The sequence below is a fragment of the Homo sapiens genome, chromosome 13, assembly GCF_000001405.40.
Source record: "Homo sapiens chromosome 13, GRCh38.p14 Primary Assembly".
Lineage (NCBI taxonomy): Eukaryota > Metazoa > Chordata > Mammalia > Primates > Hominidae > Homo > Homo sapiens.
The window spans coordinates 78,613,586-78,635,722 of record NC_000013.11 but is presented as its reverse complement, the minus strand read 5'-3'; the positions used below and the strand labels follow the sequence as shown (position 1 = coordinate 78,635,722).

Below are 22,137 nucleotides of genomic sequence, written 5' to 3'. Positions count from 1 at the left end.
CTAGAAGTTGTGAGCCAGAACGTTGGAAAAGCCTTTTTGAAGAGAAAAAATCAAGTGGTTAAATCATATTAGATTTGTTATCACTAGAAAAAAATTTTTAAACAGCACCCCAGAAATCAATTTCAAAGCTCAAGAATTAACTCTTCAGCATTAGTTTGCCGATATTGCATGTGGTATAATGTTACCTTGCCTAGAATATTCAGTTATGTGAAAAAGAAAAAAAATCACACATACATTTGCCATTAGTATGGTCCCTTAATGACTCTAAGCTAACTAACATAGTTTTGTTTATTTCCCTGGACAGGAGATTTGCAAAGTGCTTGGGGAATATGGTTTTAAAATGCTCAGTAGTATTCAGTTTCTGAAGTCATTCCCAGTAGTGATTTTAAGTTTCTGAAGGCCATGTTCTACTATTCAGTTTTCTGATATTATCACTCTAAAAAATACGGATGGCTCATGTTGTAATTTTTACAAGTCACTTTTATTGTAGCTTTTGCTTACTTATTTTCAATTTGTTATTTTAGGCAAATAAAAAATTGAAATTGGAAAATGGTGGTCTGGTGAGGGAGAATTTACGACTGAAGGCTGAAGTTGATAACAGATCACCTCAAAAGTATGTATTTTGCTCCCAGAGCAATGCTTCAGATTATGTCAATATTTTAGACTAGGCTGCTGTGAGGGTTTGTTTTTTGTTTGACTCTTCATTTAATCATGTAGATTTAGGTAGAATGTCTTGCCTTTAAAAGTCAAGTTTATACTTCGTGTTGTTGGTAAAATTTTAGTCTCGGTTAAGGCTAATTTTAAAGAAAGAATTTTATGCCTGTACTTTTTTCTTATCTGGTGAATAATGTGACCTAACACAAGTGAGCATTGACTTGGTTTTACATATAACTGTTTAATAGTACTAACATAGTAGTGAGATTAAGGTAATGCCCTTTAGCTATTTTCTTAGATAGTCTTAGTAATAGTTAATGTTCATATAGTTCTTTCTCTTTGCAAGATACAACAACCTGTAATGAAGAACTATTATTATTCTCTATTTTCAGATGAGAAAATGGAGGCATAAAGAGTTTAAATTAATTTACCTAAATCTTCACAAGTGGAAGTGTTAGAAATAGCATTTGACCAGGGGGCGCAGTGGCTCATGCTTGTAATCCCAGCACTTTGGGAGGCAGAGTTGGGCAGATTGCCTGAGGTCAGGAGTTCGAGACCAGCCTGGGCAACATGGCAGAACCCCGTCTCTACTAAAAATACAAAAAAGTTAGCTGTGCGTGGTGTTGGGCACCTGTAATCCCAGCTACTCGGGAGGCTGAGGCAGGAGAATCACTTGAGTCCGGGAGGCAGAGGTTGCATTGGGCCGAGATCATGCCACTGCACTCCAGCCTGGATGACAGAGCGAGACTCTGTCTCAAAAACAACAAAAAGAAATATCATTTGACCTTAAATAGCCCAGCCCCAGAGTCTGTGCTCTTAACCATTACACTAAAAAAAAGCCTATCTGAAATAGAATTTAGGACATTGTTCATTGAATTTTTTGCTGATTTAAAACTATACAATTAAGTAAACTTATTTTTCCCTTATGGAGTAGTTTGTTTTTTTTTGTTGTTTGTTTTTTGTTTTTTTTTTTTGTTTTTTGTTTTTTGTTTTTTGTTTTTGAGACGGAGTCTTGCTCTGTCGCCCAGGCTGGAGTGCAGTGGCGCGATCTCGGCTCACTGCAGGCTCCGCCCCCCGGGGTTTACGCCATTCTCCTGCCTCAGCCTCCCGAATAGCTGGGACTACAGGCACCCGCCACCTCGCCCGGCTAATTTTTTGTATTTTTAGTAGAGACGGGGTTTCACCGTGTTAGCCAAGATGGTCTCGATCTCCTGACCTCGTGATCCACCCGCCTCGGCCTCCCAAAGTGCTGGGATTACAGGCGTGAGCCACCACGCCCGGCCATGGAGTAGTTTTTATTCCATTCCAGAAGATAAGAATTTGCAAGCATTGGACTGCTTAACAGTTTGTCTGTTCAATATTTTAAGAAAGAGTTGGGATTTAAGGGTTGCAAATGGAGAAAAGATCGCAGACAGCACTTAAGGTTCTTCTTTTTCCAGAAAAAAAAGATGACAAATGAGAAGACAATATGGCCCCCAATGTCCAGCAACCTCTCTGAGGGATGGCACATGAGAACACCACACTTTCTTCCCATCCAACCACTGGACTTCATTTCTTTCTAATGGAAAAAGACAATGCAGGAATAAGCAAACAATGGAAATTTATCCTACCAGAAATAGCTCTCTGCTTGTCATTTGAAAAGGAGGAAATGTTGCCCTTGGTAAAACCAGATGTGGTATCAAGAAATGGCAGAAGCTAACCATAATTACTGGAGGCAGAGATAACTAACCAATGAGAAAAAAGCATGGCTTTTACGTTTAAATAGTTTCTTCCCCTGTGCTCTCCAACCCCGTTTTTCTTTCACTTCAGATAATGTCCTACTTTGACAAATTAGTGAAATAAGCTTAGGAAGTGTTACTGTTATGTAGTGGTTTGAATCTCTATGCCTATCATTTATTGGCAGCTTGCCTTGCCAGTCACAGTAATGCTTGTCCATTAGCCGTTTCCCACAGCATGCTGAATGGAACGAAAGCTATTTTGTTTGTAGCTCTTATTTCTTGAAAACTTGCCCACCAGCTTTCACATTTAATGCCAGCCACAAGGATGTGTGTTTTAAAATATCCATGGCTCAAACTGGATAAAGAACTGAAGAATCTCACCTGAGGAAACTTGGCCTCTGTCTGCGCTCAGAAAAGGAGCTGCACATCTGAATCCAATATAACTTTAGGATTTTTCCATCTTTAACTTCCATTGGTTCCCTTCAGGGGAAGTTCACTTGAAAAGCGATTTGAGCTGAAAACCGTATTCCAGATCAATTTGCAATGCATTGAGGTATTAAATGCATTGCATTTGATTTATAGCCTTGTTTACTCTGCATCACCAAACCCTAGTGGGATTCAGAGAGAAGCTGACCACAGCTGAAAATACCCAGATCTGGTTCACCTGAGGAGAGCTCCTATTTGTATGGAAAAGAATAAGACATTTCAAGAGTTCACAAATAAATGCAAGCAAATAAAAATCACCCATTCCATTTTAATCCCTTGGTTTAGAAAATGCCTTGACTAACTATTTTTCTCTTTTCGGCTTGGTTAGGTGTCAGGGTATACTTTTTTATACACTTGGCCTTAGTCTCCAATGTATCCTACAAGTTGAGCAGAAGTATTCTACAAATCATACAGAAGAGTGAGCTTTAAAGTTTAGACACTAGAGAGGGAAAAATATTAGGAAGGTGTATTAGCTCAGATTGTCATAACAAAATGTTATAGGCGAGTGGCTTGAACAACAGATTTATTTTCCCACAGTTTTGGAGGCTAGAAGTTCCACATCAGAATTTGGCAGGGTCGGGTTGTGATATGGGTTCTCTTCCTGGCTTGCAGATGGTTACCTTCTTGTTATGTCTTTATATGGTTGGGGGAGAGAGAGAAATCTGGTCTCTTTTCCTCTTAAAGGAACACCTAATGACCTCATTTAGCCTTAATTGCTTCCTAAAGATCTTTTCTCCAAATACAGACACATTAGAGGTCAGGGCTTCAACATACGAATTTGGAGGGGAGGGTGAGGACATGGCTCAGTCCATCACAGAACATATTTCTTTCTAAGATGCTCCAACAGATACCATGCTATTTTCCAAAAACTTGACTAAAATCTGGTACGAACAAAGGAGATTTACATTGGTCTCAAGAACATGGTATTGTATAAAAACGAATATATTTTACATACAATCTTTTAAAAACAATACCATAATCTTTTAAAATGAAGGTGTTGGTTATCATTTGTCTCCTCTGCTATACTGTACCTGGACATTTTTCCTTCCTCAATTTTAACTTAAAAGCCCTCTTGAGCAATGTGGCAGATAGCCTACTAAGCATGTTCTTCTAGGTTTCAATAATATTCATCCTGTTCCTTGCCAAAAATTCATTTGTCCTAATATCCAAACTCGTTGTCCAGAAAATGCAGTCTTTTCCTTTGGCTTTATTTAGCCACTTTCTGAATCCTTATTATGCTTCTGAATTTATTTCACCTGGAGGAAACCACCTGTTTGGCCCTTCAGTTTCCCCTAACTTGGACTCCTAAGAGATTTGGATTTGATCTTCAGAGCTCAAGGGGTGGTGATATGACCTTTAAGTTTACAAGAGTAATATGTGAAGAAGACTTACTCCACTTGCCAACCCAGAAATAATGAATTTTTTCTTACTTAACATTGTGCTAGATGCTTGGAACAAAATAAATACTCTCTCTGACCCCTAAAGAAGGTTGGGTTCCCTTGCTGTGATTTCTTATTACTTGTACTTTCCCTTAGCAAATGTCACAACTGCTAATAATTAACACTTTGTGTAATTGTTTTATGACTTTGTTCTGTTTGAGCAAGGGCTATAATATGTAGTCACTATTGCAACCACTGCATTTTATAGGATTCTGGCTCCCATGCTGCTCCTACTACGTATCTATTGAGTAAATGAATGAAAAAAGCATAACTCCTATGACTGAGGAAACATACAGACAAATCCAGAATGTGGGATACTCAATAGGAAAAATGACTAGGTTTCTTCATTAAGTCATTGAGGGAGGGTGCTGCTTTACAGTAAAAAAGAACTATGAAACATAATAACCAAATGCAATGTGGACTTGTTAGCATACTGATTAGTAACAAACTGTTGAAAGATATTTTAGAGGCAGCTGGGTAAATTTGAATATGAAGCAAGTATTAAATGAAATAATAGCAAGGAATCACTCTTAATTTTGTTTAGGTATCATGATTACTTAAGAAAACACCATTTATGTTAGTCCTTTTGGGCTGCTATAACAAAATACCCTAAACTGATTGGCTTATAAGCAACAGAAATTTATTTCTTACAGTTCTGGAGGCTTAGAAGTCCAAGATCAAGGTGCCAGCTGGTCTAGTGAGGCCCACTTCCTGCTTCATAGACAGCTGTGTCTTTTTGCTGTATCCTCGAATGGCAGAAAGGACAAAGGAGCTTTGTGGGACATCTTTTTAAGGGCATTAATCTCACTTATGAGGGCTTGAACCTTTTGACCTATAGGCCCCAGAAGCCCTTACCTTTAAATATTATACCATCACCTCCTATTGGCCCTGCCCCAAATACCATCACTTTAGGGATTAGGTTTCAACATAAGAATTTATGGGGGACACAAACATTTAGTCTATGGCACCATATTTTCTTTTGGAAATGCATCCTAAAACATGAACTATAGAATACTTTGGCAAAAGGCAAAGGATATAATACAAAGGAAATAAGACAAAAATCTTGATAATTGTTGAATATGTGTTATGAGTAAATGGGAGTTTATTATGTTCTCCCTACTTCTGTGAATGGTTAGAATTGTTTATATTAAGGAAAAAAACCCCAGCAAAACATGGTCCCTGCTTCCAGAAAAGTAGTTAATGAAGGCATGACATGAAAATATATGAAACAAATGCTTAACAGATACTAAGCCAAATAATAGAGACAGCAGTATGGGTTCAGAGAATGATGGTTAGGTTGCAGGGATAAGGAAGATCTTTATCAAAAAGAACTTAAGCCCAGCTTTGAAGGATGGAGATTTCAGGGAGGAGAAAGGCATTCTGAGTGAGAGAAAACAGCATGTGCTGTTAGGAGTACTAAGCGGTCCCTTCAGCCCCAGTCCTTTTTCTCCAGTAGTAGTAGCCACATATCGTGGTACTACTCAGTAAGCACACTAGCTTTCTTCTCAAATTTACCAGAGCAAAAGTCCATGTAATTTTTACATCTCTCTACTGTGACCATCATCCCTCTATTTTTATAGTTTGGTAGCATGACTCCACTACATCCACCACTTTCTACTCTAAGCAGAAGGGCCTGTTCTCAGTCTGAATATTTAGTGGGGAATGTGAAGCGTGTCACATCCCCACATGGTAAGAAACATCAAGAAAGGGAAGAAGCTGAAGGGAACACTTAAGTACTGGATTTCTCATATTCCTAAATTCCCTTGACTTTAATTACTACTCCTAAACTGTGCCAAGCTATGTGGATATACTTATCCTTGGTAGAGTTAGAAGTTCCTTAGTGACTTTTTTAACTTGAAGAGATGTGAAGAATTGACTTGTAAAGCATTTGAAAGTTCTGTGCCCTCTCTCCATGTCTCTGTTCAGTTGTGCCACTTTTTTTTTCTCTAGCCACTTGAGGCAGGGATCATGCTATGTCACCAACTATTATGAGGATTTAGTAGAGCAGGTATTTTTGTCCTCAGCTACTAACTCACCTTAATAGTATGGGATATACTATTAGGTCATTTATATCAAACTTGGTTATAATTGAATTAATGGCTTTTCTTTCTATAAATATGTATGCAGGAATGTTATGTGTTCTGTCATTGTGTCTTTAGTGAGATCTATGGGTTTGATAATGTCTCCCTGAGTGCAGTTCATTTTACTGTACAGCAACCCCAAGGCTTGTCATTATGGACAAGTCTTCAGCAATGCCTCAGCTCCTTTTGGGGGAGGATAAAGGCTCTAGATACTCTGGGCAGTAAGTAATATTTTCTGTTATTAAGATATGAAAAGAAGTGTTCTGAAGAGGAAGGAATAGACTTCATTGATTGTGACCTGGGCTTGCTTCCTTTTTTGCTCTATTTGTATTTTTTGAGCCATCAGAAATGAAATTTAAAATCAGTTAGCTTAGGGCTTTAATAATTGTCTGCCTATGTGTCAGAGATTATAAAACAAAATCAAAATCTTTGACCTCACATTCTCTCCTGAACTGCAGGTTCATGTTTTCATCTATCTTTTTTGTGCCTTTACCAGAGATTCTATACCTCAAATTAACCACAGAGCACGGTGGTTAAGAGCTTAACTCTGGAATCAGACTTCCTGGATTCAAATTTCCCTTCTTCCATTTTGTCCGTCCTTTCCCTACCCAATTCATTTTTCACCATACTCAAAACTGTCTTTTAATAAAGTACATATAAAATTATTTAAATCTCCTGCTTAAAACTATTCAGTGTTTTCCTAGAATAAAATCCAGACTCTTCACTGGCTAGTCTGCATCTGCCACCTCTTCTTCGTCTAATTCTTAACTCCTCCATCTCATCCTACTCCAGTTCTACTAGACTTTGTTTCTAAAACATGCTGTGTTTATTTCCTTTGCTTAGAATACTCTCCTTGCAGATCTTTACATGGCTGTCTCCTTCAATCCTCAGATGAAGGGAAGCCTTTTCTGATCATTCAATCTAAAGCAGCCCTTTCACTCAGCACCTTCTACTGCCTTAACAGAAGACCATAATAATAAAATCATGGTTGGGTAAAACAGTAGAGCATGGTGATTGTGAACACAAACCTTGGAGCCAGACTCCATATGACCGAACACTAATCTTGCCTACTTACTAGCTCTGTGATTTAGACAAAGATATTTAACCTTTCTGTATCTCAGTTTTTGTCTTCTGTGCAGTAGGGTTAATAGTACTACCTATCTTGTAAGTAATAGTAAGAGTTAAATGAAACTTAAAATACCCTTTTAACAGAGTCCATAGTTAGCAATTAATATTATAGTATTGTCTTCACAGCCATTATCACTGTCTGAAATTGTCTTGTTCATTTAATTGCGTGGCCTGTTTGTTGTCTGTCTCCTCCATTCTAAACTCTAAGCTCCATTTTAAACTCTAAGCTCCTTGCTGCCTATCCCCTTCATTTCCAAAGCCCCCAGTATCTGAAGATACCTGATAAATATTTTTTGAATAATTGAATGAATAAACAAGTAAATAACATTGGATAAATTAACCTTGAAGTCTTTTTTTAACATAAAATGAGGGTGCGTTATTATGAGGATTAAAGGAAATCTATTACCTTGACATGATGTGTCGTATAAAGAATGGGAAGACAAAATAATATAAATCTTCTATAAAGATACATGCTTGCATATGTTTATTGCAGAACTATTTACAATAGCAAAGACATGGAACCAACCCAGATGACCATCAGTGATAGACTGGGTAAAGAAAATGTGGTACATATACAGCATGGAATGCTATGCAGCCATAAAAAGGAATGAGATCATGTCCTTTGGAGGAACATGGGTGAAATTGGAAGCCATTATCCTCAGCAAACTAGCACAGGAACAGAAAACTAAACATCACATGTTCTCACTTATAAGTGGAAATTGAACATTGAGAGCACATGGACACAGAGAAGGGAACAGCACCCACCAGGGCCGTTAAGGGGTGGGGGCTGAGGGGAGGGAATTTAGAGGATGGGTCAGTAGGTGCAGCAAACCACCATGGCACACGTATACCTATGTAATAAACCTGAATGTTCTGCACATGTATCCTTTTTTTTTTTTTTTTTTTTAGAATAAATAAAACAGGTAGAGGTGGGATGGGGGAATGTGTATGTCTAAAAAATCATATTCATAATCCCCCATCCCATGCAAAAGATCCGCTTTGTTCCTGTCCTTCTTAATGACTTTAGTACTTTAGTATGTTCTCTATAGCCTACCTTTTTAAAATGCCTCTGTAATCCATCTTCTCATTTTCACTAGTTTAGATCCATATTATTTCTTGCCTAGCCTGTTGTAACAGCCTTTCTACTGCTTACCTTTCTTTCCTGTGCTGTCGCCCAGGCTGGAGTGCAGTGGCACCATCTCAGTTCACTGCAAGCTCCGCCCCCTGGGTTCATGCTATTCTCCTGCCTCAGCCTCCTGAGTAGCTGGGACTACAGGCGCCCGCCACCATGCCCGGCTAATTTTTTGTATTTTTAGTAGAGATGGGGTTTCACTGTGTTAGCCAGGATGGTCTCGATCTCCTGACCTCATGATCCGCCTGCCTTGGCCTCCCAAAGTCTGGGATTACAGGTGTGAGCCACCACGCCTGGCCCCAATATTCTTGGTCTAGTATAAAAGGGTCTTTACTATATAACTTCAGTTTAATATCCTTGCCTCTTCTCTAGCCCCTCGCTTCTTGTGCTCTGCTCTGGCTATGCTGAATTTCTCATTGGGCCCACATTCATCATACTGTATTTTCCCTGGTTCTCCACATTAGCTTCTCTTGTTTTTATTCTTCCTGGTTAATCCCTGTCTGTCCTTTGAGATCTAGCCCAGTTGTTGGTTTATATGTGAGGCCCTCCCTAATTTTCCTAGACAGAGGTAGCATTTTCCTCTTGTACTTTTGATTACTCTTCTTCTACCCTGTTGTTTTAATGATCGTGTTGTATGTTGATCATTTCCATGACTGTCGTACCCAGTTAATCTGGCAGCTCCTTGGCACCAAGACATATTTTTTAAATGCACATTTGTGTATTTGTACAAAATACGTATATATGTGTGTGTATCTTCCTTTTATGGAGTCTTACAGAAGGAAAGAGTCCTTATACTTTAATACTTGAAGCTTAAAGTACAAAGGATGTAAGAAAACAGGAAATCAGAGATTCCTGGAACTTTCTCCACATTAGAGCAAAGGATTTCTGGAAGCTTTCCTCTTTAAGTTATGCCAGAGATTCAGAGTTAGAAAGAGAAACAGAGGAGGTGATAGTAGGGACTTGCCTGGCTATAGTCTTGAGTTTCTTGTCCGCATCTATTTACTTGAATCAGATTTTCCTTCCTTTACCTGTCTCCATGCTGACTCTGAGCTGTGCAGTTAGTTCCATTTCACAGGTCTGCTCTTTCTAAACTATGTCTCAAGATGTGCTAGTAATGCTCTAACCTTTTGGTTCCTCATCAACACTGCTGGTCTGGCTGGCTCTTGCTGTTGTCCCTTCTTGACCTATTCTGGCCTTTTTTGTTTATCACGATTCTTCTCTGACAAATGTGGTGATTTCCTAGTATTTGACCCTAGCCTGATCCAATGACTGATTCTGCTATGCCTTTGGTTTTCCCGGAAGGGGAACTTGTAGACTGTCAGGGGAGCCTGATGATACCCTGGGGCCAGACTGTGACAGCCAGTTGTGCTCAGGCCCCTTGGCTGCCTGAGGGACCCTTCTCTGGATATTCACTTAATTGGGGATAGACAGGTACTGCAGTTTTCTGTCAGTTTGTCTTTATTGTATTGATAAGGTACTTGGGGAGGCGGCAGTGCATGCTAATGACTAAGCAGTAAGGTTGTCAGAGAGATTATGAACTGTTTGAGAAGAGGAATGATCACTTCTACTTCCTTTGTTTTCCTTCTTCATAGCCCCTGAGCACACATTAGTCCTCAATAACTGTCATCTGAGTAATAATTACAGGGTATCTAGATCAGTTTTTTGTTGTGTTTCGTTTTCTTTTAGATTTTGTTTCATGCTGAGAGAGAATAAGAGATCATTTAGTTAAGGTGGAAAATGTATAGACAGGTAGATACTAATCCAGAGATTTTTAAGTATATTTTTTATCACTCAACAGTAGTTGCACTCTTTTACAGTATTGAGATTTTGTTGTTAAGGTTATTTTATTTTGGGAAAAGATGTAAGTCCTTTAATTTCTCTTAGAAATAAAAAGATATGAAATAGCATGTCTTAATTTTCTCTCCTTTCCATGACAGATTAGGATCCCTGTTAATGTCCTGCAAATTTCAAGGCTGATCTTGGTTGGTTGAAGGGAGCAGAGGGGAGAAAATGAGGGCATTTCTGCATGGAATCAAAATGAGATATATTTGTCAAATAGAATAGAATTTATTCCACAGTAAAAAGAGTAGTCTGTCCTCACAGGCAATGCAGAGAAAGTAGTACTTAGAGTTAGGCATCCTGTTTTGGGCAACTTTGCCCAGTGTGCTGCCCAGAGAGAAGGAAAGAAACCTTGGAAATGGAGGCTAACTAGTTGCAGTTTCCAAACAGAAGGCCAGAGACCATGTTCCAATTGCCACAGAAGCAAGTAGGGTGAAATTGGCCAGCATGGAACACAGTTTAGTTCTGTATTTCTCCTTATCCACCTGCTGACCCAATACTATGTGGGTCAGCCCTTAGAGGTTTACCACAAAAGGGAGCTGTCTGTTCCTCTTCAGTTCACATATGCTGTTCAACACTCAGGTCATTTTTATTAATTTCTAAGGCATCTCAGAATTTTCACCACAGTTTTTTAACTACAAATGCATAGTTGGTTTAATAAGATAAACACACAAAGAATTTCCTTTAAAATTTTGTTCTGCAGTGAGCCGTGATCATGCCACTGTACTCCAGTCCTCCAGTCTGGGTGACAGGATGAGATCCTGTCTCAAAAATAAATGAATAATATAGTGTTAATAATATAAGCTATTAATTATTAACCCTGCTCTTCATTTGAAAACTTGAAAAGCAAACTCTACTTTGATTTTTAAATGGTACTTTTAGAAGATGGAGGGATAAGGAATTACTGCAAGGGCATAATTCTTTGTCTTGTTCCCCTGTCTTTATCAACTTTGTCTTTAAGGGTGAAATTCTGGCATTTTTTATTCTTGCAAATATTGGAACACTTTCTGTTTTGTGATAAAACTAAGATGCAACATAACGTAGCTTGTATTTTTTTATTTCTCTTAATTATACCCTGAGAAATAACCCATGTGATGTTTAGGCCTTAAAATTTTGCATTTAGTTTTTCTCATTTCATATAAAAAACATCTTTTACTTGTAGTTGAAGATACCTGCTGATTGTGCATGAACCAGGCAAGTTTATCATACATACTTTCTATACATAGCACATTTAAGTATTATGCTTTCAGCTCTGTTTCAAACTTAGTCTTTATATCTCTGGTTAAATATTTGGGTTGGCATTTACCAGGGTGGTCTGTCAATGCTGTACTTTCATGCAAGGCCACTTTAATAAATGATCTTTTAAAATTTCAAAATATTACTGGATTTATGCCTAAAATATGGTGGTGGTTTGATAAATGTTTACTGAATTTGTGCATACATACTATATGTCTTCCTACAATTTTTGTATTTCCTCTGTGTTTCTATTAGCCAATGTATGTACCAATAAATAGCACAAGAATCCTAGTTCATTGACTCTGTATACACATTTTGCCTAGAAAAATCTAGTCTACATTTTGATATGAAATATAAATAGGTACTGATATTATTTAAGAAGGGCCTTATGTTCAAGTATTTAATACGATTTCAAACATGGTGTATGGGTTCAGAAGGACTTGGATTCAAATCCTATTCCTGCTGCTAAGCCCCTTTTAAGCTTCTCATTTCTCATTTTTAAAATAAGAATAATGAATCTTGCTTCATAAAGTTGATATGAGGATTAAATGAGATAATATATATCAAGCATATAGCACTGTGCTTGATGCCAAGTAAACAATGAATTGTGGCAGCTGCTTTTCTTTTTGTCATCATCATTGTCAATAGTAGTCAGTTATGCAGTGTTAAAGATGTATTTGTTACACTTACTTTCGGTAAATTCCAGCCAAAAGTTCACTTTCCTTTTTTTTTTTTTTTTAAATGTTCTCTTTCAGTATATCTCATTTAACATTTTTGTGGAACCAACGCGTGTGACTAGGATTGACCATAGATAGTACTTTTATGATTAACAAATTTCTAGGAATGTAGCAATTTTGTAACTGACAGCTTAATTTTAAAAAGAGAAAACTCTCTTGAGGAAACATTGGCAAATTATATAGCTCAGCAACAGTATAAATGTATGGGTTGCTTCCCAAAACTTCCCTAGTAGTTTAAAGACAGAATGTTTCCTCTCTACCCTCCCAACACATATACAAGGATGGGTAATGCACAAATGATCCATAGGAAGCAGGTGAGAGAAAAGAGATGCCAGAGGCTTTGAACCTTCTCCCCCACCACCTAACACAGTTTTGGGTTTCCTACAGCTCTGGTCCTCCCTGTCCGCTTTTCCTAAATTGTGCCCCACCCACCCTGCACACATGTACACAAGATAGATACCAGTACCAGGACCTTTTCATTTTTCTTCTCACTTCTGTCAAAACTCGGATTTCTATAGAGCTCCTGTTAAGGCTACTCACTTATTAAGTGTAATCAAAAAGAGGAGTTAGGAAACTCAGAGAATCTGAAACTGGTAGATTGTGTGTTGGGAGATATAATTAAGAAAGGAAAGGGCAAATGGAAAGCTCTTCTCTCTGAAACCTTAGCTCCCTGTGTTTAAAATAGAAAAGATACTTTCCTAATATTTCTGAAATTTAGGAAATGAGAAGCTACTATGGCTATGTAGACAGGCAAGTCCACAATAAAATCCATTCTATGAATGGATCATTCTTTCTCAGATTAAGTGGCAGTTCTTTAAAGAAAAATATTTGAGACACATAAATTTATTTGGTTTTGTCCCATATCAACCATTACTTTATGAAGCCCACTTGCAGCCTTGATTTCCCAGGCTCAAGCGATCCTCCAGCTTCAGCCTCCTGAGTAGTTGGGACTACAGGCGCATGCTTCTGTGCCTGATATATATTTTTTTTTTTGGAGAGACATGATCTCATTATGTCGCCTAGGCTGGTCTTGAACTGCTGAGCTGAAGCCATCCTCCTGCCTCACCTCCCAAAGCATTGGAATTACAGGCATGAGCCATGGACCAAAGCAGTCTTAGTAATTAATGGGAAAAATCACAATTGTTTGATGACCTTTAGCAACTTTGTCAAAACATTTAACTCTTATTATCAATTACATATGTATATGGATAGGCAAGAACAGTAAAAGTAATATTTAGTACATTGATATTTATGTAGTACAATTTGAAACATGAGAAATATTGAGAATTCGTGGTTTTTTTGTGAAAAACTTCTGGAGAATAATTTGAATAGTGCTTCCCTTCTCATATAATTTATGATATGAAGCTAGCATCATTTCTGATACCTTGATGAATTTTCACACTCCTAAGTTTGCATCAACTTCCAGCATTTTATCGTTTGCTCTCAATATCGTGAAAGAGCTCCACATTGCTTTAGTGCGAAGTGTTTTGTCAGCCTGTCATTTTCTCTAGACATCTTCATCCTTTTCACCACCACTTTTCTCATCCATGTCAATAAGTTTGCCTCTACAAAGTGCTTCTGGCATATCTAGAATTTCTTGAATGGACTGACATTGTTGTAATATTCCCACAGTCAGTGATTTCTTCCATAACTACATTTACATTTGATTTCAATTTCACTTCCAATGTTATCATTGTTTATTTCTTTGTTACACCTTCATCTTTGTTGACCAGTTCTGTCGTTTTATTAACTGTTTTTGTGAAATGTCATGCGGGTTTTTTACTGGGAGACAAGGAGCAGCCCAGCTGCACACTTTGCTGTCTGTATGTTAACTGAAAAACAGGTAAATGCACAGTGACTAATCACTGACTGACCTTGAAAGAAGTGACTTGATGGGTCACTGATCATGAAGCACGTCTATTATTTATGTAGTGTTTTTTGAACTGAAAAGCTAGAAGTGAAGGTTTTACTTCATGCAGTTACTCATTAATAATGGTGTGGTAACTGAAATTTGAACCATATTGTTGGGTGACTTGTAAATTAAACCATGGTAACTGAAATTTGTGCATATTGGAACCATATAAAGCAAGGATATCAACACTGAAAACCTGTCAGATAGGCCACACCACAAAAGCTGGTCCAGGTCCAAAGATAGCTTTCGCTTTGTTTCATTACCTCAGCTACCAAGTGAGGGAAACATATAAAGTCAAAGTTTGATGAGGCAAGTGGACTGACTTCCCCAATGTCCCCCTTGTTCCTCCTCAAGAAGGCATTTCTGAATTTTGGCAGTCTTGGCCACCCACTGGGCTTGCTGCATTTACCCATTTTGTTGGAATTGCCATTGAGAACCAGAAAGGCAAAGTGAATTGCTCAAGGATAGTAGCGTAGCACTAGAGCTTATTAGTTTTTTGGTACTCAGGTGTGGTATTCTTTTACCACATTTGTTTTCTTCAAACACGTCCTGTTTTTCTGTGTGATAGACTATGAGAAAATATGGTCTTAGGAACTTTTTGTTGTTAGAGATGCTCTTTAGTTTAGTTATACCACCTCAAAGGTCATACCAATAGGACTTCCATTTCTCTTTTACTAGGGACAGAAATGATCTTGTATCTCTTAGAGCTATTTGGACAAGGGGAACTGGCATCCTTTTCTCTCTCATCCAGAATGTATGTATCAGTTAATATTGCAAGCTGAAAAATCCTTTAAGCTTCTGTTAGATTCTGGCAGAATACAGTTCCGATATCAATTGTAGCTCCCAAACTGCTCTGCAGTGTTTTTTCTGGCACAATGAAGCCTTTGGCCATCACTGCTACTTTGAAAATCAAAGCCTTTTGGTCTCTAATGGAATGTTTATAAAAATACTCCATTTTGAAATTTACTCAAGAAAAGGAGGAAGTATGGTAAATGATATTAGAAATCCCTCCGGCTTGCCTTGGCATAGCTTCATTTAGTGTTGTATACTCCAAATATCTAGAATTAGTGTGAATACAAAAGTATTAAAACCCAAAGATAAATAAGCTCATGTCCTTCTTCTATGGAAGTATAGCATCAGATACTTATCCCTAATTGTTATTTCTCTATAATAAGGTAAATTGCCCTTTGCCAAATTTAATATAGTTATCTTGGATAAGCTGAAAATTTCCTGACACATGTCAAAAGTCTCATCTATTTGCAGTCTTACTAAGGTGAAGTTTTTTGGGGTGGAGCAGTATAGAATGTCAAGCCTGTAGCAAAAAAGGCTGTACTGTACATATGTCAGTCTCTGTTGCTTTCCTGGGTGTCAGTGAAATAAAGTAAACAGTCAAATGTAGTAAACAAAACATGTTTACTTTAGTAATACAGTGACTGTCATAATACTTAACATGTAAAAAGAAGGCCAAGGACCTTTAGCTTATCCTGTGGTGTCAACCCTGTCTCAATGTAAGGCACTAGTGTATCTTAAAGTAAGAGAATGACTTTTATTCAAGAAATACACAACAGGCAAGTGCCGTATACCAGGAATTGTTCTAGGAATCTGGCAGTGAATATAAGACAAACTACCTGCTCTCCTTGAGCTTCTATTCTAACGTGGGAGAAAGAAAGCAAATAAATTACATGAATTGATTAATTGATCAGTTGCATGGCTTTTAGTATACATTTCTGTCAGTCTGCCAACCAGCACAGGTCCCTTATTAGCATGGGAGAAGGGCCTGATCACTGAAAGTATTATAGATTTATAGAGTATTGAAAGGAAACTTAAGGAAATTGGGGGCAGTGGCCTTTTAGAAAACAGCCTAACTCCATCAGTGACTTCTGCTTGCTTGTGCCTCTCATATGTGATCTGCTACTGGCCTTTGTTACTTCTCTCTGAAATAACACAAAAATTATGTTTAGGGCTCTCATTGACTTCAACTCCAAACCATATGTTACTTCTTTTAAAAACATAATTTCTAAAAAAAAAAAATATATAGAGAGAGAGAGGCAAATACAGTATCTTAAGATGATACTATATTTGAAATTCCAAGCTAAAACCCTGGAACAAGAAGCTGGTAATATTTTGGGAAGCATTCTTTATTTTTGAGTAGTCTTTCTGTGTGTAGGCCTCTAAGTTCCCAAAGATATCCTTTGGTAGCAACTGACTTACTATGTAGTAGCATTATTTGATTTTAAGTCATTTGATTTTTTTATCTGAGGAGATACCTTTATTATAAAAAATTTTACTTGAAGAAATTTATCTTGATAAGCAAATGTAAGGCTGTCACTTTTGCTTATTGGCATTAAATAAACATACTACAGTTTTTCCATTTAAAAATGTGGGTTATTTGATTATGCCAGAGTAGTTACAATCAAGAACTAACAAACATTTGTACTTAATGTACTGAAAGGTCTTTGCCCACTTTTTAAAAGTTCTCTTGCAGAACTACAACTCTGTGAAGTACTACATTTATAAGCCAAAACATTTTTAACAAAGAAGAAAAATTCCCATCATTCATTTAACCAAATACAGTAGTAAACTTTGTCTTTAAAATGGGGAGGCTTGTTATTATAGTTGCTTTTGTTTTTGTTATACCTGTGGTTTTTGCTGTGTTTTTTTAGAAGTTGAAGGGAGCGTGCTCTCTCTGGGGGTTCAGTTAATTGCAGTGAGTAAATCAATATTCAGCAATCATGTCTTTTAAAGCCCTTTCTAATCTTGAGATTTTATGATTCTATATTTACCTTTGCCTCTGCTTTTTCCTTCAGTGATAAGAGTGCAGGGATTATGTAGGGGTTGAGATGGGGAATGAATTGGGCTAGTGGTTTAGGAGGTGATGGGCATTAAGTGGGAGTTGAAAACATGTTGTGGTTGATTCTAAGAGGGGCAATTGCTATTGGCTTCTGCTTTTTTTGTAGTTTTTTTTTTCAATACTAAATACATGTTCTTAATTGTAATTATTTTTCAAATTAGGGGAAAAAAGGAAGAAAAAGATAAACCCAAAGATAAAAATAATTTTTGAAAGTCACCTTCTCATAGCTTCCTCCAAACAGACAATCCCTTAATTCTTAGAAATGGGCCAATATATAAATCATCAAAAAGATGATTAAGAATAGGCTTTGAAAAGAATTTTGGAGGAGATAAGGTATTTTTCACGGGATTATGTTATTTATTGGCTCATAAGTTTCCTGAAAGATAGAATTTATTTTTGGTGATAAGATTGAATTTAAGGTAGATATTTTATGTCCCTTGGAGCTAGACAGTCTTTTTTATCTTTTGTGTTCCCAGCCCCAAATATACCACCTAACCTATACTAGGTACTCAAAAATTGTTTCCTGAGCTTAACACAGTACTCATTCTTGGTGGAAATAACAGCAAGATAATCCCGGTGTAAAAGGAGTAGACTTTTTGTGAATAAGGGAATTCTTTTTCAGTCACTCTCCAAAATGTTCTCTTTCAGAAAGTGTACAAAAAAATTTTTTTTTTTGCCTAGTATATTGGAATCACAAGCACTGACTTCATATTTCAAAGTTGAAAGAAATGAGATAGATGTCCCACACAGCTGTAAAATGCCAAAAATAAGTAGTGCTGACATAAATTAAAGGCCAGTGCTCTGAAAAGCCACAGAAAAGCTTCAGATCAAGGGTGGCTATAATTGAAAGGGCCCAAATAAGTATTTAAAACCACCCCTCCTGGGACTGCTAAGATTTCTGAATTTCAAATTGGCATTTTATGTTTGACAAGGTGACATTATATAAGAAATGTATTGTAAAACACTGCTGTATGATAGGAAAATGATTGAATGTAAATATTTCAAGATGTAGACCACTGTTCAAATGTTATCATAAATCTTTGCCATTGTTTTAGGGGATAACTCTTCATGCATATATGAGCTGAATTGATACAGCCAGCTCTTCGAGGGGAAATCATCAGCACATTTCTGCCTCTCTGCTACCATAGATCTGATTTAACCACAAAAATATCCTATTAGGTTTTGCTATTATTATCATATGTTTATTATTATGTAAGTGGGGAAACCATTTTTTGAAAATATACATCTGGCATTTGCCCTACTCATTGAGTGGTCTGAAATGTCACTGTTAGGTGAAATTAGAATAGCCTGGGACAGTTTGCACTCTCAAACCTTGAAAAGAAAAAAGCTTGAGTTATAAGATTAACTATCTTTCCATTCTTTGTAGGTTTGGAAGGTTTGCAGTTGCTGCTCTTCAGTCCAAAGTAGAACAGTATGAGCGTGAAACCAATCGCCTCAAGAAAGCCCTGGAACGAAGTGATAAGTATATAGAGGAACTAGAATCTCAAGTTGCACAGCTAAAAAATTCAAGTGAAGAGAAAGAAGCTATGAATTCCATTTGCCAGACAGCACTTTCTGCAGATGGCAAAGGGAGCAAAGGCAGTGAGGAGGATGTGGTGTCAAAGAATCAAGGCGATAGTGCCAGAAAGCAGCCTGGCTCATCCACCTCCAGTTCTTCTCACCTAGCGAAGCCTTCCAGCAGCAGACTGTGTGACACCAGTTCTGCAAGGCAGGAAAGTACCAGCAAAGCAGACCTTAACTGTTCTAAGAACAAAGACCTATATCAAGAACAGGTAGAAGTAATGTTAGATGTGACAGATACAAGTATGGATACTTATTTGGAAAGAGAATGGGGGAATAAACCAAGTGACTGTGTACCCTACAAAGATGAAGAACTTTATGATCTTCCAGCTCCTTGTACTCCTTTGTCCCTTAGTTGCCTTCAGCTCAGTACTCCAGAAAATAGAGAGAGCTCTGTGGTCCAAGCAGGAGGTTCCAAAAAGCACTCAAACCATCTCAGAAAATTGGTGTTTGATGATTTTTGTGATTCTTCAAATGTTTCTAATAAAGATTCTTCAGAAGATGATATAAGTAGAAGTGAAAATGAAAAGAAATCAGAATGTTTTTCTTCCCCAAAGACAGGATTTTGGGACTGTTGTTCCACAAGCTATGCCCAAAACTTAGATTTTGAAAGTTCAGAGGGGAACACGATAGCAAATTCTGTTGGAGAAATATCTTCAAAATTGAGTGAGAAATCAGGCTTATGTTTATCCAAAAGGTTGAATTCTATTCGCTCTTTTGAAATGAACCGGACAAGAACATCCAGTGAAGCATCGATGGATGCTGCTTACCTTGACAAAATCTCTGAGTTGGATTCAATGATGTCAGAGTCAGACAACAGCAAGAGCCCTTGTAATAACGGTTTTAAGTCACTGGATTTGGATGGGTTATCAAAGTCATCTCAAGGCAGTGAATTTCTTGAGGAACCTGATAAGTTGGAAGAAAAAACTGAGCTAAACCTTTCCAAAGGTTCTCTAACTAATGATCAGTTAGAAAATGGAAGTGAATGGAAACCCACTTCTTTTTTTCTCCTCTCTCCATCTGACCAAGAAATGAATGAAGATTTTTCACTCCATTCCAGTTCTTGTCCAGTAACTAATGAAATCAAACCCCCAAGCTGCTTGTTTCAGACAGAGTTTTCCCAGGGCATTTTGTTAAGCAGTTCACATCGACTATTTGAAGATCAAAGATTTGGGTCATCTTTGTTTAAGATGTCCTCAGAGATGCACAGTCTTCATAACCACCTTCAGTCTCCTTGGTCTACTTCCTTTGTGCCTGAAAAGAGGAATAAAAATGTGAATCAATCAACAAAAAGAAAAATCCAGAGCAGCCTTTCCAGTGCCAGCCCATCAAAAGCAACTAAAAGTTGACTCATTAGAAAGGTGTCATTTGTGGTTTTGTCCTGAGAGAAATAGAAAAGTTGTTAAAGTTACCTTTTTTCCTCATAAAAGTTCTATACAAATTGGAATTGATAATCTTTAGTCAAGTATCAAGTCAGGATGGTGGATTAACCTGTACCCAGAATACTTATTGTTCATTTTGAAAAGACTTTGTTCTTTTCATTTTTATTTGGGAGTCTTTGTGACCAGAGAAGTTAGGGAGGAGGTTATTTTTGTGTTTTGGGGTTGGTTGGTTGGTTGGTTTTGTTTTTGGTTTTGTTTTTTTACTGAATTTGATATGTATCTCGGTTGGATATACATTGTTTTTTTAAAAAATGTTATTTAACTGTTAGATACAGTGGCCTGTTGATAAGCCCCACTTGTCTTCAGAACTTGGATTTCTTAAATAAAACTTTTAGTGTTGTCTATACACTGCTCAATAAGACACTTGAGTTTAAGCTTTTCCCAGGGTGGAAATTATTTTACCTGTCCCTTTTTATTTATGTTTAGTGATGGCCTAGTTTTTCTGCAGGGCCATGATGGAGAAATAGCACTCTAGCCTTAGTCCAATATTGATTTACTTTCTTTTTTTAGGTTTTATGTATATGTTTGCATTTTTTAGCATTGTGTTTTGTCCAGTTTTGTGAAAATGTTCTGCTAGTATGAAAGAAAACATTTTCTATATGAAGACATTTGTTTTATGTTAGGTAGCTTACATTTTCTCCTCTGCGTGTGTGTGTATGTGTGTAAAATCAGAAATTTAGCATACTATGGAAAGAAGGCATGGAGCACTTGGGTTTAGAGGAACCTAAAACATCATAGCTTCATTGTTCCAGATGTAACAGGTTTGAAAGAGCTCATCGCCAAGTTCTTGATCCACTTGCATTCCAGGGGAGTTTTCTTTTGAGTAGTATGTTTCTTGTTTGCATGTTCCTGTTCTTTGTGGAAACTATGCATGGTAGCATTTTTGCTTGCTGTGTTTTCCATACTTAAGAAAAAGAGGTTTCAGTTGGCTGATAGAATATCTTTTATGTAGGACAAAACTTTTCTGTGAAGAGTGTTGAGGGGGTGAAGATAGGTAAGAGGTAAGCACAATTTTTAATTTAGGCTCTGAAAAAGTGTATTGTTCTAAACGTATTTGGTATGCCTATATAGGTCTTTAAAAATGGGTATGTATGCTGTTTAATGTGCACTGAACATTTTACATTAATATTGTACTGTTTTACATTAATACTGCATGCTTTTCTATGTGAATTGAATAAAGAATGTCATAAGCACTGTGTTCCTTGATGTCGATGATGATTCTTTGTCTCGTATATTGAATTAGCCTATAAAGACCAGGAAAAACTACTTTTTTTTTTTTTTGAGACGGAGTCTCAATCTTGTCGCCTAGGCTGGAGTGCAGTGGCGCGATCTCTGCTCACTGCAACCTCTGCCTCTCAGGTTCAAGCAATTCTCCTGCCTCAGCCTCCTGAGTAGCTGGGATTACAGGCACCTGCCACCACACCCAGCTAATCTTTGTACTTTACTAATAGAGACAGGGTTTCGCCATGTTGGCCAGGTTGGTCTCGAACTCCTGACCTCAGGTGATTCTCCTTCCTTGGCTTCCCAAAGTGCTGGGATTACAAAAAACTACCATTTCTTAATTGATTTTATAATACATTGAAAAACTATGGTTCATGGACCAAATCTGGTCTGCGGCTATTTCCCAGGCTGGAGTGCAGTGGTACAGTTATGGCCCACTGCAGCCTCGGGTGGGCTGGGCTCAAGCCATCCTCCCCACTCAGTCTCCCACAGATCTGGGACTACAGGCATGCACCATGTCAGGCTGATTTTTTAGTTTTTGCAGAGACAGCGTCTCATTATGTTGCCCAGGCTGGTACTGAATTCCCAGGCCCAAGTGATCCTCCTGCCTCAGCCTCCAAAAGTGCTGAGCCACCACACCTGGCCAATCATAAAATTCAGTTTTATGCATTTTAATCTTT

At 37.6% G+C, this 22,137-nt stretch overlaps 1 protein-coding gene and 1 long non-coding RNA gene across 4 annotated transcripts in view; one reads left to right on the top strand and one right to left on the bottom strand.

The window, feature by feature from the left end:
- OBI1 (ORC ubiquitin ligase 1) overlaps nt 1-21,434 on the top strand; it is a 44,867-nt gene extending 23,433 nt beyond the window's left edge. For all 3 annotated transcript variants that reach the window (XM_011535225.2, NM_024546.4, XM_024449410.2), the window contains 2 exons: nt 525-613; nt 18,601-21,434. In XM_011535225.2, coding sequence (XP_011533527.1) covers nt 525-613; nt 18,601-20,143 — 1,632 coding nt within the window. In that variant the 3' untranslated portion in view covers nt 20,144-21,434. The remainder of the gene's footprint in view (nt 1-524; nt 614-18,600) is intronic.
- Nucleotides 18,398-22,137, bottom strand: part of OBI1-AS1 (OBI1 antisense RNA 1) — a 562,471-nt gene continuing 558,731 nt past the window's right edge. Inside the window, exon 6 of the long non-coding RNA NR_047001.1 lies at nt 18,398-20,048. This is a non-coding gene — a long non-coding RNA (OBI1 antisense RNA 1). The remainder of the gene's footprint in view (nt 20,049-22,137) is intronic.